Source organism: Homo sapiens, chromosome 2 (assembly GCF_000001405.40).
Source record: "Homo sapiens chromosome 2, GRCh38.p14 Primary Assembly".
Taxonomy (NCBI): Eukaryota; Metazoa; Chordata; class Mammalia; order Primates; family Hominidae; genus Homo; species Homo sapiens.
In genome coordinates, this window is record NC_000002.12 from 63,879,340 (window position 1) to 63,904,689 (window position 25,350).

The 25,350-nt window shown below is 37.6% G+C and overlaps 2 protein-coding genes across 16 annotated transcripts in view, besides 1 other annotated feature; one reads left to right on the forward strand and one right to left on the reverse strand.

The window, feature by feature from the left end:
* UGP2 (UDP-glucose pyrophosphorylase 2) overlaps positions 1-12,221 on the forward strand; it is a 50,592-nt gene extending 38,371 nt beyond the window's left edge. For all 9 annotated transcript variants that reach the window (NM_001377529.1, NM_001377525.1, NM_001377526.1 and 6 more), the window contains 7 exons: positions 3,127-3,312; positions 4,621-4,754; positions 6,250-6,547; positions 7,002-7,199; positions 8,063-8,305; positions 10,742-10,846; positions 11,781-12,221. In NM_001377529.1, coding sequence (NP_001364458.1) covers positions 3,232-3,312; positions 4,621-4,754; positions 6,250-6,547; positions 7,002-7,199; positions 8,063-8,305; positions 10,742-10,846; positions 11,781-11,888 — 1,167 coding nt within the window. In that variant the 5' untranslated portion in view covers positions 3,127-3,231 and the 3' untranslated portion in view covers positions 11,889-12,221. The remainder of the gene's footprint in view (positions 1-3,126; positions 3,313-4,620; positions 4,755-6,249; positions 6,548-7,001; positions 7,200-8,062; positions 8,306-10,741; positions 10,847-11,780) is intronic.
* Positions 9,476-9,770: a silencer, noted in NCBI's record as "tiled region #3928; HepG2 Repressive DNase matched - State 25:Art, and K562 Repressive DNase unmatched - State 12:CtcfO". NCBI's record gives its function as "represses a minimal TATA promoter and a strong SV40 promoter by Sharpr-MPRA in HepG2 and K562 cells {active_cell/tissue: HepG2 | K562}" and the evidence as "EXISTENCE:reporter gene assay evidence [ECO:0000049][PMID:27701403]".
* Positions 12,811-25,350, reverse strand: part of VPS54 (VPS54 subunit of GARP complex) — a 127,279-nt gene continuing 114,739 nt past the window's right edge. For all 7 annotated transcript variants that reach the window (XM_017004316.2, NM_001005739.2, NM_016516.3 and 4 more), the window contains 3 exons: positions 20,135-20,242; positions 18,157-18,251; positions 12,811-14,196 (listed from right to left, as the gene is read on the reverse strand). In XM_017004316.2, coding sequence (XP_016859805.1) covers positions 14,091-14,196; positions 18,157-18,251; positions 20,135-20,242 — 309 coding nt within the window. In that variant the 3' untranslated portion in view covers positions 12,811-14,090. The remainder of the gene's footprint in view (positions 14,197-18,156; positions 18,252-20,134; positions 20,243-25,350) is intronic.

The window sequence follows — 25,350 nt, forward strand, 5'->3', positions numbered from 1 at the left end:
TAGCTTTCAGAATTATTGTAGCATTTTTACTTTTATAATAAGCATTTATACTTTGATAAAATATTGATGTTACATGAAAATTTTCACTCCAAGTTACATCTAGATAACGTTTACCTCTATTTGAAATAGAATATTCAAATAACAACAAACTCAATGATATCCCTTGTTTAAGTTCCTGATATTGTAATGACAAGATGGGTCATACTTTATAGTACGATTCAATTTATTTAAAAGTTTTGAGACAAATAAAATGGCATACAATATTGTTACACACATAGGTGGTAAAACTATAGAATGAAAGTCCGGATACCCGTAGGGGTAGAAGAGGAATGTGATTAGGGGCAGATGCATGGCAGTGTTCCTTTTTTAAAAATGTTATTCTTTCAACTGTATATGTATATTTTATAAACTTTTATGTATGCGATGTACCACAATTAAAAATTTTAGGTAAAATTGGAAGACAGGCCTGTCCTACCATGTGGAAAATTGCTGCTGTGTACTCTTTTTTTAAAGTGTAGTCAAAACATAAATAGGTAAGACTGTCTCTGAACTAAAAATTTTACCTAAAATGAATGCATGAACTAGGAGTTTTCGGTGACTTTCAACTGATTTTCACATCCTTGTGAGACCTCTGTAAATATTAGGTCCTTGCTAGGAAGTGAAAAATAACTGATAAATGGAAATTCTTGGCTTTTACAAAATAATTGGAAAATAATTGGCCTGGTCCCACTTGCTGACTCTTGTAAACTAATAATAGGCTACTTACAGCCATTGATCACAGTGGTCTTTCTTTCCTTCCTCTCCTCTCCCCTCTCCCCTTCCCCCTTCCCCCTACCCCTCCCCCCTCCTCCCTCTCCTCTTTCTGACAGGTTCTCATTCTGTGGAGTACAGTGGCATGATCACAGCTTACTTGAGCCTTGACCACCTGGGCTCAGGTGATCCTCCCACCTCAGTCTCCTGGGTAGCTGGGACTACAGGCATGCACCACCATGCCTGGCTAATTTTTGTATTTTTTGTAGGGTCGGGGTTTCACCATGTTGCCCAGACTAGTCTCAAACCCCTAGGCTGCCTTGGCTTCCCAAATTGCTGGGATTAGAGGTGTGAGCCACCGCATCCAGCCTGTTTCTTTTAGTGACTGGTTGCTCTCAGTTGCTGGGCTAGAAAAGATTATAAGCTACCCTGTTATATCAGGGTGACAAAGATTCTACTGTCATCTACTCTTATTTTTCTAGCAGTGTGACATAAATTGGAAGTTTTTCTCTCCTAAGCAATATTACCAGTTTCTTTGAAATGCTGAACAAATGATGGTCATGGCAGTAGAGTCAAATGAAAACATCCTTCAAGGATTGTCAACTCTGCAGGGTGCTTTGTGTGTGTGTTGGGGGGTCAAGTTGTTATCACCCCTGCGTTGTCCTCACCTGGACCACATGCTGCAGGGGAAGCGATCAGTGTGGTCTGCAGCCATCGGTGTGGTCTGCGTTCTTTCCTGCCTCCCTCCTCTTCCTTGTCATTTCACATCCCAATATTTATGTAGCACCCCCTGGAGTGCCCACAGGCCTGTCCCCTCCTCTTATCTTTTCTGTAACCAGCCCTTATTTTGGTTCATGAATATGAATGGCTTTAGAAAGCTACTTAGCAGCACTTACCAGGAAGATTGACAATCCTACCACATGAGGAAAGAATTGATCATTAGTGATGATTGGAGCAATAACAAGTAGAGAGCCTTGGAGAAGAGTGCTTCATGTTCTTCTGTATTTACACCAAACAAGAAAGTGTATTAATTTGCACTTGGCAGTTAACATAGTATATTGCAGGGTAGAAGAAATAAGAACCACAGACTAGTTTTTTTGTGGAAAGCTGTTAAAAACAAGAATTTTGTTATCAGGAGGCAACATATGATATATGTATGTATGTTCATCTGACCAAGCATAAAGAGATTTTTGCCTCCATAGGCTTAGATCACTGGAGTGTGAGCCTGTCAAGTTCTTTCCCAGTCACACCTACCCATTACACACACACACACACACACACACACACACGTTCCTACGGTAGCAGAACAAATAACAGCTAACATCCACAAAGCACTTAAGGGGTAGTTTTATTTTTTTCAGTCCATTATGTGTTAGCTGTTGTACACCATGATGTAACTGAAGAGTCAATTTGAGGACCTATTCCATTAAAGCAAAATAACAGCAAACATGTCACATAAATGGATAGAAAATACATTGTGATCTTTCTGAAAGGTTTCCTTCTTACTGTAAGATGTTTAGACTTGCTTGTGCCTCTGCTTTGAAGAAAAGAATCTGGGCCTCTGCTGTAAGTTGTGTCACTGTTCCTTTCCTGTAAGGGAGAAGTTATAGATTAAGGCCCTCTGCTCACAGAAATAGATGAGGATGCTAGGGAGAAGATTGAGTTGGGATTTTCTTCAGCCCCACCTCTTGCCCTTTCCCTCCCTTCCAGGGCATTTCTTAGAACAGTGACAACACTTAATTTTCCAGTATTGGCTTTTATATGGTGACACCTGAAAGTTAAATTCTTGAGGAAGGAATTCTGTCCTTGTGCATACCTAGAAGTTTGACAAAAAGTCTATGCTACGTTCCTCTGAAAGGCAAACTTATGACTGCATAGAGGAGAATGGCAAAGAACAAGTGTGTTTTGGTATTTGCCTCCTGTGGTAGAAGGAATAATGTGTAATTTTATATGTAGTTCTCCAGAATTGAAGTAGAGCCACAGTACAACAGAAATATTTAGACTTGATGATTCTAAATAAATGACTTGATCATTTGCTATGTTGATGCAAAATGGGAATTGAGTGTTTGAAGATACTCCAAGAGATCTGGATGTTCTTAACCAGCCAGACAATATATAGGGCCTACAACTTTTTCCCCCTTCTCGTACTCCATTGTAAAGTAAATGAGCCACTGAACTACTGTGTGCAAGGGAAGTTGCCTGTTAAAGTACTTGATTTTGAACCACAAGGGCCTATGACATTAAAGAAAAGTTGATTAAAACTTTCCACAGAGAAACCGAAACTTTATGGAAGCATGGAAATAACCCTGGGATTGATATGCTTTAACGTCCCTTAAAGCTGTTTAAATTACTCCTATAATGTTATTTTTCTTTCAGATTCAACCCTATGAAAAGATAAAGGCCAGGGGCTTGCCTGATAATATATCTTCCGTGTTGAACAAACTAGTGGTGGTGAAACTCAATGGTGGTTTGGGAACCAGCATGGGCTGCAAAGGCCCTAAAAGTCTGATTGGTGTGAGGAATGAGAATACCTTTCTGGATCTGACTGTTCAGCAAATTGAAGTGAGTAACATTTAGCCTTTCTCATGAGATACTAAAATAGTTTTTAGTTTTTAAGTTATCATAAATGTTATAAAATGTAGCAGATGTGAATTTGAGCTAACCAAAGAGCCTGCTATCTTTAATCTCTTTATTGGTGGAAAAAAGGTTTAGTGTTCTTAAGGGCAAATCCTTAAGGTTATGTAAAGGCTTTTGATCTTAAATAGCACCTGTGGTTGTTGAAATCTCTGGGTCTGTTGAGATTCTCTTTTGATCTCCCACTGCTCTACCCACTTTCTTTCTGGTGGCAGCCTTCATCAAGGCTGGGATGATCTTGCTTTATTAACCCCTTTTGGGAGGGTGGTGGGGAGGATGCTGTGTATTTGGCTGCAGGTCATGCATGCTAAGAACTGTTCTTGGCTTCTCTCTTAGGACAAAGTCATTAATCGTACACCATAAGCTCTTTTGGGGCAGTGGCCTTATTTTTTCCATCTCCTTATCCTAATGCCTAGTATGGTGCTGGCAACTATAATCCTAATGCAAGTTGTAGCAGTGGCTAACATGTATTCAGCACTTATTGTCCACCAAGTATTATTCTGAGCTCTTTATATGAATTTACTCATTTGTTCCTCTCAACAACTCTGTGAGGTAAGTACTGTTATCCCCATTTTACCAATGAGGAAACCAAAGCACAAGAGGTTGGTTACTTGCCCAAGGTTCCCAAGATAGTTAGTAAGTGCAGAATTAAAATTTTAACATAGGGCAGTGTGACTTCTAAGACCCTGTTTTCTTCACACTCTGCTGCCTCGTAGCTCTTCTGAGGTTGAAAAGATTTCAGCTGGGGTGTGATTCAAAATTTTTGATCATTAATGTTGAGAGTAGGGAGCCATGTCTTTGTCACATTTATACTTTCATCCCTACAGAGATGTTAACATAGAGTAAATGCGTAATCAGCACTTGCCTACCCAGTAAGGCCACAGAGCACTGTGGCTGTACACAAGCTCCAGACTCAAACTGCCTAGGGTGGGGAGGTGGGGGTCCTGCCTCTGCCATTGCCAGACCCACCACCTATCTGGGCCTTAGTTTAGACATCCGTAAAATGCAGACAGTAGTTTCTATCTCAGAGGGTAGTGATTTAATGAGCAAGTGCATGGTGAATTGCTTAGCAAAATGTCTGGCTCGTGCTGAGCAGTTTTTTGTCAAATCTGTATATTTGGCTACGTACAGATGATGTTTTAGATATTTTATGATTTAACCATTAAGAACTAATTTTGCATATTTGAGCAAAAGAAAAGTGAGTCTGGGTAATCTAATTGTCATTTTCCTCCCTAGCATTTGAATAAAACCTACAATACAGATGTTCCTCTTGTTTTAATGAACTCTTTTAACACGGATGAAGATACCAAAAAAATACTACAGAAGTACAATCATTGTCGTGTGAAAATCTACACTTTCAATCAAAGCAGGTACAATGAGTAAAAAATTAACTCTGGGTATGTTACTCCTGGGAAAGGACTTCTTTATCTTGTTTATAACAGAGCAGTTTCAAGATGTACAGGTACCAAATATTGATGTTCACAAGTGTTTGATGCCCATAAAAGCTGAGCATTTGTTGATATGTGATTGTTATAATCACTCTGGTTCTCTAATTTCCAGTTCTTAAAATTCAGTCTGCTTGAGACTCTGTTCCATGTCCAGAATATTTGGGGATAGTTTAAGCCTTTGCTTTCTGAGAGCATATTTGGTCTCCAGGTGGGTCTGTGAAAATCTTTTTATATTCCTACATTATTGATAACCTTTCCTATGGAAAGGAATTTCTTCAACACCTTTTATGGGCTTGGGGTAATTTAATAAATTCTGGAGGAAATCTTTGGGGAATAGTGAGTAAAAAGTAAATTCAGATGATGAATTCTGATTGAAGGCCAGGAAACTGGAGAAATAAGACTTCCATTTAAGGGATGGACATCAGTCCACATGAACTTGTACAGAAGGGATGTTTTGAGGCTGGGTGTGGTGGCTTATACCTGTAATTCCAACACTTTGGAAAGCCAAGGCAGGAGGATTGCTTGAGCCTAGGAGTTTGAGACCAGCCTGGGCAACATAATGAGACGTCGTCTCTACAAAAAAAATTTAAAAATTAGCATTGGTGGTGTGCCCTTGTAGCCCAGCTACTTGGGAGGCTGAGGTGGGAGTATCACTTGAGCCCAGGAGGTCGAGGCTGTTTGTGCTACTGTACTCCAGCCTAGGCAACAGAGCAAGACCCTATCTCAAAAATAAAATAAAAATAAAAATAAAAAAGAAGGACATTTCTAAAGTTGTGTCATTAGTTTGTTTGGTTGTTTTTAAGATCTATTTCCCATGGTTACTTTTTTTTTTTTTTTTTTTTTTTTTTTTTACTTTGCAGATGTTTTGCCTTTATTTTCTAGTCTTTAGTCTGTTGCGGTGCTAGCTCCCGTTTTCCTCTTGCCCCATCACCAGCTTTACCTTTCTTACTAGTGGTGGGAAGCAGACATCTTGGAATGCTAACCTGGTGCTTATTTTCTGGGAAAGAAAGAGATCCACCCCTGAATATATCCATTTGTAAGAATGGGCAGTATTTCCCAGATAGGTTTTCAGGGAAAAGAACAATCTCACAACTACATAAGTTTGAGAAAATTTACTTGATACATCCCTTCTTTTGGAGAGTCATAAAACATGAATATCTTAAAAATATGATGGGTCCTCCCATCTGTATGACCATAGAGACATGTTTTTGCAGCAGCTATCACCATCTGGAAAACAGATTTTGGACAACACAGATACTGAGAGATTTTCTTAAATGGATTCACCTATAATTAAATTACTTATTGATAGACTCTGAAAAGAAGTGAAATTTTATTTAACTTTAATGTATTATTTTATTTAAAGGCCTGAAATGCTCTACAGGGTCAATATTGAAAAAGAACTTTTTTTTTTTTAAAGGTACCCGAGGATTAATAAAGAATCTTTACTTCCTGTAGCAAAGGACGTGTCTTACTCAGGGGAAAATACAGAAGCTTGGTACCCTCCAGGTCATGGTGATATTTACGCCAGTTTCTACAACTCTGGATTGCTTGATACCTTTATAGGAGAAGGCAAAGAGTATATTTTTGTGTCTAACATAGATAATCTGGGTGCCACAGTGGATCTGTATATTCTTAATCATCTAATGAACCCACCCAATGGAAAACGCTGTGAATTTGTCATGGAAGTCACAAATAAAACACGTGCAGATGTAAAGGTAAATACCGAGAGGAAGCAGTTTAGGGCTTCATGTTTTCACATTTCGTAAGTTATGAAGTTAAAGACTTTTTTATTTGAAAGTTTCTATGTTAAACAACACATTTAATATGTTCTGTTTGACATAATAGTATGTATCATAAATCCATAATAAATAGTATCAAAATCATCTCTATTTTTTTGGATAAGCTACATCAGTAATTTTAACTAAAATAATTTCATACATATTTATGGCAAAAATCTGAAACATGTGAAATCTTTCAGTAAAGTTGTCCAAACCTTTAATACTCTTCTAGTTTGGCATTTAAATGTTATTTCATTGTCCCTTTTATGAAAATTTACTCTGTTTCTACATAATGTATTTATATATTTTTTGTATAATCACTATCTTTGTATTTACAAAAAAATGCACTTGAGACTGATGTGGAGGCACTCACTATTTTCTGCCTTTCTAGGGCGGGACACTCACTCAATATGAAGGCAAACTGAGACTGGTGGAAATTGCTCAAGTGCCAAAAGCACATGTAGACGAGTTCAAGTCTGTATCAAAGTTCAAAATATTTAATACAAACAACCTATGGATTTCTCTTGCAGCAGTTAAAAGACTGCAGGAGCAAAATGCCATTGACATGGAAATCATTGTGAATGCAAAGGTAAGCCAAGGTTGTGGCCCATTGAGCTTCCTGGTTCCTAAGGTCATAGTAGGCTACACACAGACCCCATCGCCCACTCCCTCTGTCCCATCTATTCCATTGGTCACTCCCTTTTGCCTTTTCAGACTCTAGTTCCTAGCCCTGTCTTCCAGAATCTGCTGTCACCCCTCTAGTGTGCCAAGTTATGGTGCCCTATATTTGACCCTGGGTTGTGGTAGTGGCAAAAACACTGGGCTTCAAAAGTAGAGAACCTACTTCAGTCTTAGTTGTTGCTCTGACACTCATAGGTCATTTGGCCATCGGTACTTTGCATGAGTTTTCTGAACCTATGGTTTATCATGAAATGATATTACTGAACAGAAGAGTTTTAAGACTGAAAAAAGATTACATGTTTAAGAGTTTGGCATATGATAGGTGCTTGATAAATGTCAGTTCTCAAAATTATTTTTCTGGCCAGGCTCAGTGGCTTATACCTGTAATCCCAGCATTTTGGGAGGCCGAGGCCGGCAGATCACTTGAGGCCAGGACCAACCTGGCCAACATAGTGAAACCCCATCTCTACTAAAAATACAAAAAACTAGCTGGGTAGGTGGCACATGCCTATAATTCCAGCTACTCGGGAAGCTGAGGCATAAGAATTGCTTGAACCCAGGAGGGCAGAGGCTACAGTGAGCCGAGATTGCGCCACTGCACTCCAGCCTGGGTGACAGATCAAGACTCCTTCTCAAAAAAAAAAAAAAATTTTTTTTTTTCCATCAATGGATCTCTGAAATCACTTCCCAAATATTAACTAACCTACATGGAACTAAGTTGTAGGTGCCTAAAACCTCTGTTTTCTATTCCCCACCCCTAATTTCTTACAGACTTTGGATGGAGGCCTGAATGTCATTCAATTAGAAACTGCAGTAGGGGCTGCCATCAAAAGTTTTGAGAATTCTCTAGGTATTAATGTGCCAAGGAGCCGTTTTCTGCCTGTCAAAACCACATCAGATCTCTTGCTGGTGATGTCAAACCTCTATAGTCTTAATGCAGGATCTCTGACAATGAGTGAAAAGCGGGAATTTCCTACAGTGCCCTTGGTTAAATTAGGCAGTTCTTTTACGAAGGTACGTAACTATAAAGATATGTGAGTTCATATTTCTTAAATGTGTAATTATAAAGATATGATATACATGTGAATTGGAGACTAATTACAGTCTCTACCACTGACCTGTTGTATTCCTCTGTCTTTGATACCTTTTAAAGGGAATTGACCATAGAAGATAAATATTTTACTTCACATTTGAAACATGATTGCCATATGGAGAGTAGAAAATAATCTTTAAATTTTGGGGCATTTTATCTTCTGTCTCTTCCAAGACCAGTACTGCTTTCATCAGTGGGAAAAGGTTAATTCTGGCTTAACAAATACTTATTGAATGCCTATCATGTACTGGGCAGTGTTCTAGGTTCTAGGGATTTAGCAGTAAACAAAACAGACTAAATCTTTGTCTTCACGGAATTGACATTCTAGTGGGGAAAGGATGATAAGTAAGTAAATGTATGATATACCAAGTGGTGGAAAATGCTATGGAGAAACAAAGCAAGGGTGGAGAATAGGGAATGCCTGGGGAGGTGGCGGGGTGGTGTTGATGGTGTAATTTTACATTGAGTGGCCACAGGCAGCCTCATTGAGTTGATTGAGTCTGACAAATCGGTATCTAGTGCAAAAAGTGTTCTAGACAGGTGGAATAGCAAGTACAGTACATCCTCAGTGTCATCAGTATGTTCTTGGAAACTGCCACAGTAAGCAGAACAATGTGTAACACATTTTGCCATAGGCTAATTGATATAAACAAGAGTTCAGTTCCTACAGTTTATTTCTGGTCACAAAAATATCACCAAATTTTAAAAACAAAACACTTCTAATATTAAACTCTGAAATAAATGTGAGCTGTACATACATTGATTAATAAAAACAAGATAATTCTTGACTCACTTATTCCAGTTCAGGTTCACTGGTGACCAGAGCTTATCCCGGCAGCTCAGGGCACAAGGCAGGAGCCAACCCTGCACAGGCCGCCATCCCATCTCAGGGCACACTCACACATATCCACACTCATACTGGGACCATGTAGACACACCAGTTCACCTAACATGCACATCTTTGGGATGTGGGAAGAAACCAGAATAGTTGGAGAAAACCCACACAGATGTGGGGAGAACGTGCAAACTCCACACAGACAGTAGCCCTGGCTGGCAATCCTTTTTTTCCCCTCATCAGCGTTATAACAAAGTAACATTGAACAAAACAGCACTATCTGTGGACCTGCTGTAAAACTCCAACCTAGCCTGATAAGTGAAATCCAAAAAATTTAATCAATGAAATGTGACACTGTGAGCCTTTGTGGTTGGCCTATGGGGTCCTGCTCTGCCATCCAAGTCTGTTTTAGTCCACAGCAGGTGTGGTTTGGTGCCACCTGCTGTGGATGTGTAGAATGCAGATGGGGAATTAGAAACTATGAATGCATGTGTCCTCAGAGTCAAATGAAGAAAATATTTCAAGTGGGATTGATCATGTGTCAAATGCTGCTGCTGATTCAAGTAAGATGAGAATTAGATTTATCAGTATGGAGGTTTGGGAGCCTCACAGGCATGGATTTAAAAGAGAATGAAAAACGAGGAATTGGAGATATGAATATCGAAAACTCAAGAGTTTTGCCTTAAAGAGAAACAGAGAAATGGGGCTATAGGTAGAAAGGAATATAGGATTTGAGTTTTTGTTTTTTTTTAATGGGAGGATGTTTATACATTAATGGGAATGCAGTCAGGAGGGAAAAAAGACTGAAGAGGGAGAGTTGCTGAAACAACACTTGATAGGCCATAAGAAGGGATCTGATGAACAAATGGAGAGGCTGGCTTTAAGTAGGAATAGAAGCAGTCCAATTCCAGTACTAGGAAGGCAGAGTAATGGGCAATGGGGGCAAAGTAGTGGTGGTGGTGGATGGAAACAAGTGGAAGTTTTCTAATTGCTCCCATTTTCCCAGCAAAATAGGAAACGGGGTCACATAGGACAATCTCTAGTGCTTGTAAATCTAAGGAAATAAAAAGACAAAGATGGTGATAACATAATAATTTGTGCTGTTGCTCTTCCTAAAATGTGCTCTAATTTTTCAGAATCCGACCTATCCACTAAAGTCCAGCTCCAGTCTAGCCTGCTTCAAAGCATGATCTCTTTTTTTCAGTTAAATTCAGATTGTGTGAACTATTCATCTGGCTCTTGGCATGTTGATTATCTTTAAAAAAAAAAAGAAAAAAAACCCTTAGATCTGCTCAACTATCTTGTAAATTGCTTGGTGTAAAAACAATGTTTGTAGCTCCTGGTCTTTCCTGCACGGCATTTAGCATATAATGAGTGCTTAATAAGTAGGTGCTTCCCACAGAGGACCTGAGCTTTGCCAAAAAAGGTTTCTACAGTTCAGTTAAACTTTCTTGTTAATATTTTTCCTGTCTTTCTTTGAACCCATTTGAGACAAATTTTTATGTTTCTCCTTTTCTGTAAGGTTCAAGATTATCTAAGAAGATTTGAAAGTATACCAGATATGCTTGAATTGGATCACCTCACAGTTTCAGGAGATGTGACATTTGGAAAAAATGTTTCATTAAAGGTATGTTGTTACAATGAAAATTATATTTCTTACAGCTTACAATATAGGTCTCATTTTCTAGTCATAAATTTACATTTACTTTAAGGAATACTTGTTAGTCTTAGTGCCACCTTAATTACTAGTGTAATTATTTTACTGAAATGAGAATCTTTAAAATAGGATCACTATTAGCATTAGCTTACTAAAGATGATTGAGTAAAAGCAGAAAAAAAATGACAATTTGTACTGAATATAACCTATTAAAGGAATGTTATCACTGTAAGAATATTCATTTACATTATTGTAGTACTCAGGTACTCTTCAGTGTCATTCCAGCCTCACGTAAGAAATAGGAGGGAAACGGGGGTATAAAAGTATTAAAGCTCACCAAAGATACAATAGCTTTTTCCAAATCATGTAATTTTTTAAAAAATCTCCTAACTAGATTTCATATACTCCTCCCATTAAAGCTACTTACTTAAATGAAGATCTTGAAAAAACAAATACATATATTGAATTTTATTGCTGAGACTGCCTAAAGACTTAAGACATGAAAAATCTTATCAGTAAACTGTTATAAAAACAACAACAAAAGCCCTATATGTAAATGTAAACCAAGCACCTTTTAATTTCTCTATGAAGGTTAGATAATGCTGGTGGCCTTGCAAGTAGGCCTCCAAAAGGGGCTGGCCATGCTGTGGCACCGGGTCCACTTCCCGCTCTTAGTTCTACCTCTAACAAGGAGACAGAGAATCTAGAACTACTGCCAGGATTGTTACAGAAGGACACATTACAATTTTCCTTAACTGTTATTTGTTTTTCATGTTTAATATTGTTTATAAAAAAAGTTACTTCACTGTAAAAAAAAAAAAGTTGTACATAAACTTGATCACTGTAAGATAATCAAATTGCATTTCAGTTGCAAGTACACTCTTTTGTTTTCCCTGTCACTTAGGGAACGGTTATCATCATTGCAAATCATGGTGACAGAATTGATATCCCACCTGGAGCAGTATTAGAGAACAAGATTGTGTCTGGAAACCTTCGCATCTTGGACCACTGAAATGAAAAATACTGTGGACACTTAAATAATGGGCTAGTTTCTTACAATGAAATGTTCTCTAGGATTCTAAAATAGGCAGGTACTTTACTATGTTACTGTACCCTGCAGTGTTGATTTTTAAAATAGAGTTTTCTGCAGTATGCTTTTAGTCTAAGAAAAGCACAGATGGAGCAATACTTTCCTTCTTTGAAGAGAATCCCAAAAGTTAGTTCATCTTAAAGTGCAATATTGTTTAATCTTAAAACTGGGCAACTTTGGAAGAACTTTTAACAGAAGCCTCAATGATGATCACTTTGAATTGCTTGTGATTTCAAAAATAAAGCAGTGAAGCAATACTTGTGTACACTGGTACTTTATAATGCTAACTATAAACTGGTTTATTGTTGTTAGACAGTTACTATATTAGTTGGAAGATTTGCCCTTTAAGTACACACTGGCTAGTTACCTAGCCAGTGTGTACTTAATGAGTCCAGTTTTTGGCATTTCTAAGAATCTTAATCATACCATTATTTCCACAGGAATTAAACTGAAGGTATTTTCTTTAGTACCTACCTTTCATCTAGTTCTAAAACTGGGATGCCTGCCATGCTTTCCACAAACTCTCCATTTATTGAAACAAAGTGGCATTTATTTTCCCAGCTGACGGGGGTGGGCAAAGGGAAGGCATTTCTTCACATCCTTGTACTCTTCTATAGTGAGGTAGGGGGTATAGCTTCATAAAAAGTTCCCTTTCCCTGAAGCTTCATTTCCTGAAGCTTGTTTATTATCACTGAAAAAATGATCATTAATAATCTTTCCATTCAGGTCTGCTGGTAGTTCAATTTATGCCTTTTCTTTAAATTCATCCATACTTGTTTTGAGTAGGCTGCTTGTTTAAAGTTCACAATATACCACTTAAAAAAAAGTTGCCTTTTAAAGTCTGTTAATTTTTTACAGCTTTATTTTAGACAGATAGTTTAAGAACCAAAGACATACCTCTGTAATGATAAAGGAAAGAAAACAAGCTTTCCTTTTAAGAAACCAAAGAGCACAAAATAAGACTGTTTCATTATACATAATCACCACAGGATATTAGGCACTCTGACAGGGTTAGGCAAGATTCTTGGTGTGAGGTGAAGCACAGGCACTTTATTTGTACAGTGCTGCTGATTCTAATTTTGAAGGTAGGTATTATAAAAGTCTTTACTTGTCACCTTATTTCTGGCCCCAACACAGCAGCCTATAGTTTTAAAAGTTCTGTTTCTCCCTGGTCTTTGTTCGTATACACATCGAAAGTAACTTAAAAACAAGGATCCAAGGGGGCCATACTTCATATGTTATCTAAATGTTAATATGAGAACTCAAAAGTAGGCAGATTATATGAATACATATTCTTACCTCTGCTACAAATAAAAACACCCCAAACCCTTCATCATACTTTTATAAAAATACAGATATTAAACTGTAGCCTTTTATATACCATTTCTGAAAAGTATTTAGTTGCATAAATAGATGCCAGGATCTTTTTTTTTAAGTATTAATTACTTAAAAAAAGGCTTAAGTCTTTCAGGTATTTAGAGAGCTCTGGAAGGCTTTACCCAGTTGACATACGGTGGTAGTAGAAATATTAAATATGCAACACACAAAGCCTGCAACTTGACATTGGTCACTGAAACAAAAATTGAATTCCTAAATCCAAGCAATCAAAAGATGTTTATTTTTTATAGAAAGATCTGTAAAAAAATAATAATTTTTCAAACAGCTTTACTTTCATAGAGAAAACTTTCTACAGAAGTTGACTAAGATTTTAAATTGTACCATCATTAAATAAGGTGGGACACCATATGAATTTCATTGCACTGGAAGAAATGCAAAGCATTTTTTAATATAAAGTATACAGAGCATTCTAGTCAACTACAGCTGTGTTACAGCTATGTGTTCTTTTGGATTTGGTCCAAAGAAACCTGAGTCTGTTTCCAGAGAGAATGAAAAATGTTATAGACACCTGATCAGTTACTCCTCACTGTAGGATGCACAAAAATGACATTCCTTGTAGATCCCACTGAATCCAGTTTCCCAACACTTGATACTTTCCTTTTTCCCTTCCCCCACCCCAGTTCACTTTGGGTTTCAGGTTCAATTCTCGAATCACAGGCATCCAGATTTTCTTCATAACAAACACATCCCATGGTCAGATGAACTACCCAGTTTTCCAGGATGACATCACCTCTTCTGCTCCCAAATTTCGGCCATATTTAGGTCCAAATCTTTAAGGCCTTTTAAGGCTTGAAGATTTCCAGTGTAAAAAGCTACATCTGCTGTGACCAACCTAAATAATGGAGAGAAAATTATTTTTTAAATCTCAAACTTTCTATTCAGATAATTAAAGTAACAGTGCTCACCGAGTCAGAGTCCTATTATCTAAAATTCAGATTTCTTAGTGCCCAAGTGTCCAAATACTTTACTTAGCAGGATTCCTGCTATGAATAAGTAGGCCATTTAATGCTGTACTTCAATAATAAATATTTGGAAAATGAATAAACCAATGGCTGTTAGAGTCAGTTTCATGATAAATTCAGCCCAAGAAAATCAGATTTATCTTGAAACAGCATGAATTAATATACAGAGAAAATAACAGGCTAAACTAAAATGTTTTTGATTGGTTAGCACTAGAGTATGGGAGTGCTGACTAAAATAGTAAACTCAAGGGAAAAGCAGGCTAGGTTTCTAAGTGTCATCTAAGGCGTTAAATACAGACTAGTATTCATGTATATAAGCGATACTGGATATTTCTTTAAAAACCCAAGAGAAAAATAGGAAAGAACATAAGAAGTCACAGATGAAAACACCTGAATAACCAATAAACTGAAAAAATGGTAAACGTCAGGAAAATGCAAATCAAAACAAGGTACTACTATCCCCCATCAGACTAGCAACAATTAGGAAATCTAACAGCAAATGTTGAAAAGATGTGGGAAACAAATTCTCACAAACTACTCCACTAATGTGGGAGTTGGTACAGCCACTGTCAATACCTAACAATATGAAAAGTGTATTAGCTCCAATTCACTTATAGGTATATGCCCTGAAGAAATGGTCACACCATTAGACATGTATAAAGATCTTCAGTATGGCATGGTTATAATGGAAAAAAGTAATGACTTAGCAATTTATCACTAGGGGAAATGTCTAATTTATCTATGGCTGATTCATGGCCAGGAGCAGTGGCTCACACCTGTAATCCCAGCACTTGGGGAGGCTGAGGCAGGAGGATCACCTGAGCTCAGGAGTTTAAGACCAGCCTGGGCAACATAGTGAGACCTCGTCTCTACAAAAAATTAAAAAAATTAGCTGGGTGTGGTGCCACACACCTGTAGTCGCAGTTATTGGGGAGTCTGCAGTGGGAGGATTGCTTGAGCCACGGAGGTTGAGGCTGCAGTGAGCCATGATCACACCACTGCCCTCCAGCCTGTGTGACCATGAGACCCTGTCTCCAAAAAAAAAAAAAAGGTTGTTTGATGGAATACTGTACAGCAGTCAAAAACAGACTACTAAACATATATCAACATAGATAAATCAGTAAAAATGCCTAGTAGAAAGCAAGCTGCATATATGCAATATACCATATAAGTAAATTTACAAAACAGCACTACATATTTTTCATAAATCTAGGTACAATAAATAAGACTAAAAGAATGTAGACTAAATTCACTGGAAATGTTACCTAAAGGCTGGGAGAAAAAGGGAATCGGACTGCAGATGGGGTGTAAAGGTGTACTTAGCTTCATCTGGAATGCAATTTTTTGAATACCATTTTAAAAATACAATAAATATTTTTTTCAAGAGAAAATGACAAATGTTGATCAATTCTGGGTAGTAGAAATATAAATAATTTATTATTCTCTGTATGTGTCTATTTTTAAAATATCTTAGAGGAAAAAAAATCACATTAAAAAGTACAGAGCTGGGCCGGGTGCAGTGGCTCATACCTATAATCCCAGCACTTTGGGAGGCCGAGGCAGGCAGATCACCTGAGGTCAGGAGTTTAAGACCAGCCTGGCCAACATGGTAAAACCGTCTCTACTAAAAATACAAAAAGTAGCCAGGCGTGGTGGCACGTGCCTGTAATCCCAGCTACTTGGGAGGCTGAGGCAGGAGAATTGCTTGAACCTGGGAGGTGGAGGTTGCAGTGAGCTGAGATCACGCCACTGCGCTCCAGCCTGTGTGACAGAGTGATACTCCATCTCAAAATAAAATCAAAGTACAGGGCTGGGGAGAGGGAGAAATAGGAAGCAGCTGCCTAATGGGTACAGGATTTTCTTTTGGAGTAGTGAAAATGTTTGGAACTAGATAGAGGTGGCGGTTACGCATCACTGTGAAGACACTAAGTGCCACTGAATTGTTCACTTTAAAATAGTTAATTTTATGTTATGTGAATTTCACCTCAAAAAAAGTCAAAAGCTACATTTTTAGAGCAATTTCAGAAACAAAAACTTTTAAGCAGGTAGTTTATGTCCTTGGCTACAGGGTAGAGGTTAATCTTCAGGGATATTTCAAAGACATGAATTGACTTATAAAGAATGAGTTTCTGTTAGCATGTGACAGTGAGGATTCTCTAAGGTCAGACTGACTTCCAAATAGCTATATTAAGAAAGAAAAGTAACAGCTAACGAGTTAGCTTGGGTGCTTCAGAACTACTGGTCTACAAAAACCCAACTAACCAACCCAGATTTAGTTATGGGAATAAAAGTAAAAGGGTATGAGCAGGGTTAGGCCTTAAAAATATTATTAGCTTTTTTTGAACAGCCTCTTTAAGGTACCCAGTATACATCTCTACCAAGAGTCTCCTAAGTTTCTAATATGCTATTATCTTTTCAGGAGCAGGTCTCTTATGTATGTACCATTTGTATCATCTGACATCAAGTGAGAGATATACACAGCGTCACCACATGTGATGTTCTTGCTGAAAATATCTGACTCTATGTTGGTATAACGCTATTAATGTTGATTTTCTTAGGTGGGGTTCAGGTATTACGGTTGTATAAAAATGTCCTTGTTTTTAGAGACACATGCCAAAGTATTTAAGGGTTAAATTTTATGACTGCAGCCTACTTTTTTGGTTGTTTGTCAAAAGGGAGGTATGGGGGTGGGAGGGAGAAGGAGCAAAAGTGGCAGAGAGTATGTGGCAAAATTTTAACAGTTGATAAATCTAGGTAAAAGCTATTCAGTGTTCATTATTGTCCTTTAAGTGTTCCATGGCTTTGAAATTTTTGAAAACAAATAATTCTTTAAAAAGAAAAAGAAGAATCAGATAATAAGACTATCATTCTTGCATAAAACTCTTAAATTCAGCCTAACAGATTCAACAGAATGAAGCTTTCACATAGCTCTTTGCAAAATTGATTCACTGTACTTCTTCTTAAATGGCAGGGCCAACTTCTGACCCCAACATACATTTTTTTCATTTTCCATTTGTTCTTATAAGTTTGAAATTTGAGCCTGAAATTCCTTTAACAGGAAATAAAATTTTATTCCTAAAAACCCTAGAACACTAAAGAATTGATATTAATACGTAACTAAATGATCAGTGCTTTAAATTTTATAAAATCTCTTCCCCATATCTTTATCTACATAACTCTTCAAAAAATCCTATTAAGGAAACTTTTATCATCATCCCTATTTTCAAATCTAAAAAACCTAAGCTGAGGGGGAGTAAGTGATTTGCCCAAAGTTACAACAGCTAGTAAGTGACAGAACTAGAACTTAACCCAAGTTTTCAGATTCTAAGTCCTACCCTATGCTTTCTATGTACTATGCTATTTTACAGTAATATATACAATCTTTCAATAGCTTACAATAAAATATATACATATACACACATATATTATTTTTCATAACCCTGTGAAAGAATTAAGACAGATTTCATCCTTGTTATTTTATAAATGTGGCACACAGGTTAAGTGACATTCACATGGTCACACAGTAGGACTTCTGAATCCTGTTTGGAATAGGGAAAGCTATTGGGTAACTAAGGAAGTGCTACTAATTCACACTGCCTCAAAACAGATACATAACGTCAGGTAAGCAATTGTCCATGTATAAACCCCTTTTAGATAGTTAGATAGAAACAGATATTTCCACAGGGGAAAAAAAAAACACAAAAGCTTGCTGATTTTACAACGTTGGTCTTCAGTGTGATTACAGCAGAAAAGGATGGCACAAATAATCAAAACTGATCATTAAAACAATTCGATATGGGAGTATATGGTGAAAACGTTAAAAAACATACCCATTTTGAGGTCCTCCATCATTTATCACATTTAAGTGAGATAACTGCTTTTTCAAGTGGAGTTTATAACTTGCATTAATTCTTAAAAATAACATCTGAAAAAGAAATAAAACTAAGTTTCTTAAAGTTCTACTGAAATAGAAGATATCTGAGTTATCAATATTATTTAGAGAAAGTATTTTTAAAAACCAAAACCTTTGCTTTGACATATACTTTTAAAATCCTCCTCTGAAAGTATTCTATTGCTATTTCACTACATTTTTTCTCCTTAGTTGGAAAAACCTTTTTACCCTCCTTAGCAGTACTCCTTTTTGGAAAAATTCCCGTAAGTGGGATCAACTGTGACAGGTAAAAATAATAAAAAGTAGTGGGGAATTTTGTAACATAGTAAGTAGGAAGTTGGTAGGGGAAAAAATGTCATAATGATAGAGGCAAAGATACCTTCGTACTTCTAATCTAGTGAAATCACTTCAAAGCATTTTATTGTTCTTGCATGCAATGACCCAATATTTCTTTGGGAAATACCTAACCTAAAATTATATACAATGAAATTATGAAATGATTTTGTGAAATAACATTTTCTGTGGGAAAAATATATATAATAATCTATGGAAGTTTTGTGGAATTACTAGTATTCAAGTGGCAATAGTGACATAAAATAACATTTGCCCAGCATTGACAAGAGTACCCTTTAAATTACGCCACAGATAAAACACATGAAGTACCTGTATGCCCAGCTCCCTGACCTGGGTAAGTCCTGCTCTAGAATTAGAACTCAGATGGCAAATCCAGAAGGTTAGAATGTCAGAGGTGGAGGATCTTACATGTGGAATGGAAAGGATGGCTTGGCTAAGAAGAAATTAGAAGGAAAAAGGAGACGACCCTAGTGGGTACGTCGTATTTTACGGCTCCCCTTCAGTCCTCAGTGAGTCCCAAAGGAGTTACATGATATTTATTCATGAGTTTGGTATGATTTATGAAAACCTAGGGAAGTACGAAGAAAATGTTAACAGCTAGTATAGGATGGAAGTTTGAGGTAGCATAGGAAAGGAGACCAGCAGGACCAACAGTAGGCAAGAGACACTAAGAAAGCCACCCTCTGCTCCCAAATACCATTTCCACGCACTCAACCAAGTAAGAGAGACAAACTGAAATAAACAAACTTGTCTGAATAGCAGAAATCTCAGTGAAAGTTAAATTCATTAGTCATACAGCAACTAGACTTTAATATTATACCATTTATTCTACAAACCAGGCACACTTAGTTCAGAGGAAATAAGCTGAGATTAAAAAAAAAAACAAAACTGGTAAAAAAGGGAATACTGAAAACTTCAAAGTTCCAGGAGAGCGCAACAGGGCTGTAGCGGGTAGAGCTGTTACTGAGGAGTGAAGAGAACTCTGTGATAATACTTTTGTAAGGGAATACAGTAGCGATAGAAGGGTGGATACTTCATAGCTGAGAGGTGTCAAAGACTCCCCCACCCTCCATTTTGCTCTTTTTCCTAGTTTGTCTTTACTACAGATCTCTTATGCTGACATAACAATAAAGCAGATTGAGTTAATTATATGTGTTAATCTTATTAACTCTATCACTAATTCTTTCCATATCCAATTTGAATTACAATCACCGTAACATATTTTGCTACTCATTGATAAAGGCCAACTCTAATTTTCCAAGAACAGCGTAATAAATGATGTAAGCAGAATCTGGGACTACTGATCATGGACAAATGGAAAACCTACTTTTTAGAATTGTTTATAATATAGTAAAGCTCTAGCTCTGGTCTGTCACTGCAAGGAGCACTTAGAAATTAGAAATTTTTATCCATGTTCTACCAGTCAATATAACAATGTAAAAAAATGATAATCATATTGGAACATGAACAGCTTAACTGCCAAAAGCATGTAAAAACACCCCAATTCTGTACAGATATTGTATGTTATATATACATGAATAGTTTTAGGAATTACTTCTCACCTGTGTTTGTTCTTCTGGAAGGAGATCAAATATAGCTTCGTGCATTTTTGTCATTTGCTTACAAATATTCCTGAAACAGGCAGAAGGAACAGGAGCCTTCACTTCATACTGGTAGGAAAAAATAATGAGAATTATGTTCATGTCCTCTGAATTGCATAATGTCTCCACCATTCCCTGAGACATATATTTACTGTCCCTCCACATATCCAATTCTGGCATAGTACTTAAGCTTACACTTTTCAACTGTGATCTGCGCTACTCATACAAATCTTGAGAACTTTTCATTCAACATCTTAATTCACTTTGAAGGAACTAAAATAGCTCAGTGACTAAGAACAAAGCCTGCTTCCAATCTTAGAACAGACTGCTGGGTTCAGATCCCAGCTCCTCCCATTCTAAGCTAGGTGATGTTGGGCAAGTTATTTAATTTATCTATCCCAAAGGGCTGCTGTGAGGATTAAAAAAGAGGACTCATAAGAAAGCAAGACAGTGCTTGATACAAAGTAAGTACTCAAAAAATTGTTAGCTACTAATCTGGCTCAATATACAATATAGCCACTCCAAATAAACAGATTACGTTTTAAACAATTTAAAAATTAGCTGGGGCATGGTGGCAGGCACCTGCAATCCCAGCTACTCAGGAGGCTGAGACAGGAGAATTGCTTGGACCTGGGAGGTGCAGGTTGCAGTGAGCCAAGATCGCACCACTGCACTCCAGCCTGGGCGACAAGAGTGAAACTCTGTCTCAAAAAAAAAAAAAAAAAAAAAAAAGAATGTGTCAGTATGATCGTATCTGAAATCAACAGAAAAATCTGGCAGAATAAATATGTTTTTTATTTTGTAGGTGGGTCAATATAGTAATATTTTACCCTAACATTAAAAGGAGGATTTTTTTCAGCAATGTTCTGTGCTAAAAATTTAAACTTAGGTAAATTCATTTTACTATTCTTACATATGAAACAATATGGTAGTATGACTTTAAAAGCCATCTTTTAGCTTATATTTTAGAATTCACACAGCTGAAGTTATATACCGTTTTATTTATAAGACAAATTTGGGCTAAATACTATATCTCCCTTTGGGGAGATAACTGTCTAAAAGCTGGTTGGTGTTCCAAAAAGTGGACAAGGAACGCTATAGGAACTCAAGTGAAGGATATTTACATAATGATGTCTAATGGCTTCCCGAGCTGCCCACCTGAGGTGTTCAGTCTTCAAAGGGAAAATAAACAGGTGAAAATATTCCAGGTAGAGGACAGGCCATATCATCTCAAATCTGGTTTTTTTTGTTTGTTTTTTTTGATTTTTTGAGACAGAGTCTCACTCTGATGACAAGCTGGAGTGCAGTGGTGCAATCTCAGCTCATTGCAACCTCTGCCTCCCAGGTTCAAGTGATTCTCCTGCCTCAGCCTCCCGAGTAGCTGGGACTACAGGTACTTGCCACCCCGCCCAGGTAATTTTTTGTTTTTAGTAGAGACAGGGTTTCACCATGTTGGCCAGGATGGTCTTGATCTCCTGACCTCGTGATCCACCAGCCTCGGCCTCCCAAAGTGCTGGGATTACAGGCGTGTGCCACCACGTCCGACCTCAAATCCGTTTTATACACTATCTGATTAATACTTCTAAAGTACCATTCTAATCGTATGATTAATTCATTAAAAAACTTTTCGGTTCTACTTTTATTTAAAATTTAGAAAGCTGCAATAGAACATTGCTACTACCTTAACAATACAAAAAACAGATAATCTGTAAGACCATACATCAGAGAACAGAGATCAGGGGAACTAATTCCAAAGACTGAAAAGGCCCTCTGAGGAGAGGTGATACACAGGAACTGTCTCACTTTTGGCAGAGCATAAAAAGAAGAGGTAACCACAAGAGAAGCAAGTAAGATGAAAATAAGTAAAATTTTAACAAATTCTTAAAGGCCAAACGTGGGCTAGGATATATTTAGGATAACTGAAAACCCTAGCCATAAGGAGAGTCTGCACTCATGCACAAGTTTTACTTCACGGCCTCCAGGAGGTACTCAGAAGAAACAGGAGGATCAAAGGGAGAAGATCATATAGATCCACTCCCAGTAGCACAGGTATTCAGGAGGTGATTAGTTGCCACAAGGAAATAGAAACAAATGCCATCATCCATTTCCCCCAAACCCTATTCTCATACAAAGTAAAAGGCCTAAGTCACTGAGAAGGGGCACCAAACTCTCACCACTGGGGTCACGGTGTGAAGCCAGGAACAAAACATGCCTGCTCCTGGGCCGGGCATGGTGGCTCATGCCTGTAATTCCAGCACTTTGGGAGACCAAGGAGGGTGGATCACCTGAGGTCAGGAGTTTGAGACCAGCCTGGCCAACATGGTAAAACCCTGTCTCTACTAAAAATACAAAATTAGCTGGGCATGGTGGTGCATGCCTGTAATCCTAGCTACTTGGAAGGCTGAGGCAGCAGAATTGCTTGAACCCGGGAGGCAGAAGTTGCAGTGAGCTGAGATCACACCATTGCACTCCAGCCTGGGAGACAAGAGCAAAACTCCGTCTCAAAATAAAACAAAATGAAAAAACATGCCTGCTGCTGAAGAAAGGGACAAAAACACCTGAAGCCCAGGATCTTGCACCAGCAGAAGTTGAGAGCAGAAGTATGGGCTCCACATTCAAGGCCAGGGATACAGGCTCTACCTAAGATGGAGACCAGACAAGAAGAACAAGCATTTCCCCTATTACCCTTAAGAGCCTAGCAATGAGAGTCTGGAGAAAGACTCCTATTCTGTAGTGGAGATGTACAGAGATGACTAAAAGATGAGGGTGAAACCAACACTGAGAAAAACCCTCTAACAACACCTCAGGCCCTACATTAAACACAAGGTAGTAGCAGCCTACTACTGAAGGAGTTGGAAGCCTCTGGCATACTAAGGGTAACAGCAGCAACAACAAAACAGACACCTAGCTTGGTTATTGAATAACTTGATTCAAACCATAACAAACATAGCCTGACAGAAGAGGCATGTCCATTTCCATGCATAAACACTATTTACCTCACAGTCTCTACTGTTCTTCTACATACAAGGTTCAGCATTTAATTAAAAAAAAAACAAAATATACAAAAAAGAAAACAATATCCCACTGTCAAGAAATAAAGCAACCAACAGAACCAGACTGAGAGAGAATCCAGATGTTGAAACGATTAGAGGGAGATATAAAAATAACTGATTAGGCCGGGCACAGTGGCTCAAGCCTGTATTCCCACCACTTTGGGAGGCTGAGGCGGGTGGATCACCTGAAGTCAGGAGTTCAGACCAGCCTGGCCAACATGGCAAAACCCCATCTCTACTAAAAATATGAAAATTAGCTGGGTGTGGTGGTGCATGCCTATAATCCCAGCTACTCCAGAGGCTGAGACCTGAGAATTGCTTAAACTCAGGAGGTGGAGGTCACAGTGAGCTGAGATCATGCAACTGTGCTCCAGCCTGGGCGAAAGAGTGAGACTGTCTCAAAAAATAACATAACAACATAACATAACATAACATAACACAACATAACATAACAAAAATAAAATAACTGATTAACATGTTAAAGGATCTAATGAAACCGAAATCTCAAGAGAGAAATTGAAACTATAAAAAAGGAAACACACAACAGGTCCAAGAAGTGCAGAAGAAACTCAAGCATGATCAAAAACACACAGAACTTAGACACATCATAGTGAAACTGCTGAAAATCAAAGACAATATTTTGAAGGCAAATAGAGCAAAAAACAATGAATTACAGCAGACTTCTTGTTGAAAACTATGCGAGCCAGAAGACAACTGAACTGAATTCTACATCTAGCAAAAATATCTTTGAAAAGTGAAGAGAAAATACAGGCTTTTTCAAACAAAAACTGAGATGATTCATTGCTGGCAGATACATTCACAAGAAATATGAGTGGAATGTTTTCAGGCAGTATGGTATCGGATGGATCCAAGCAAAGTAATGAAGAACTCCAAAAATTTATCCTCATTTTTTCATAAAAATGAGGATAAATATAAAAGGCATTGTTTTCCTCATTTTTATCACTTTAAAAGATAACTGATAATCTAAAGCAAAAACAGTGGCAAGGTATCACAGGTTTTATAAAATACGTAGAAGTAAAATGTATGACAATAATAGCACACAGCAGGAGAGAGAGAAAACAGGTATCCTGTCATAAAGTTCTTACACAATCAGGGAAGTAATGTCATATTATTTAAAGGTAAACTGAAAGATGTATGTTATAATCCCTAGAGCAGCCACTAGAAACAAACAGAAATATAGCTAGTACACCAACTTTAAAGATTAAACAAAATAAAACTATAAAAAACATTTAATCTGAAAAAAGGGGAAAATCAGTCAAAGAACAGAAGGAACAAACAGAAGACAGCTAGCAAGATGACAGATTTAAATCTAACTATATAAAAACAATTTAAATGGTTTAATAGGTCAATGAAAGACAGTAATTGTCAGACTAAGGGAAAAAAGCAAGATCCAGCTTCATTCTGGGTATAAGAAACTAACTTTAAATAAGGCATAGATATGTTAAAAACACAAGGATAGTAAGAGAAACACTATAAAAACACTATTCAAAAAAATTGGAATGGTTACATTTGTATTAGATAATATGCACTTCAAAAAAAGGAACATAACCAGCCATAAAAAGGATATCACAGGCCGGACGTGGTGGCTCACGCCTGTAATCCCAGCACTTTGGAAGGCCGAGGTGGGCGGATCACTTGAGGTCAGGAATTGAGACCAGCCTGGCCAACATGGTGAAACCGCACATCTACTAAAAATACAAAAATTAGCTGGGCGTGGTGGCAGGCACCTGTAATCCCACTTACTCAGGAGGCTGAGGCAGGAGAATCACTTGAACCTGGGAGGCATAGGTTGCAGTGAGCCAAGATTGCACCACTGCACTCCAGCCCAGGCAACAGAGCAAGACTTGGTCTCAAAAAAAAAAAAAAAAAAAAAAAAAAGGGAGATCACAAAATAAATATTAAGAAAACATAGTAATCCTAAATGTGCATGTATCCAGCAATAGAACTTCAAGATACATATAACAAAAACTTGCAAAGATCTGAACACAAAAACAGACAAATTTACAATTACAGTAAAAAACTTCAGTGCTCATCTCTCAGTAATTGATATAAGAAGTAGACAGAAAATCAGTAAGGACAGAAAAGACCTAAATAACACTACCA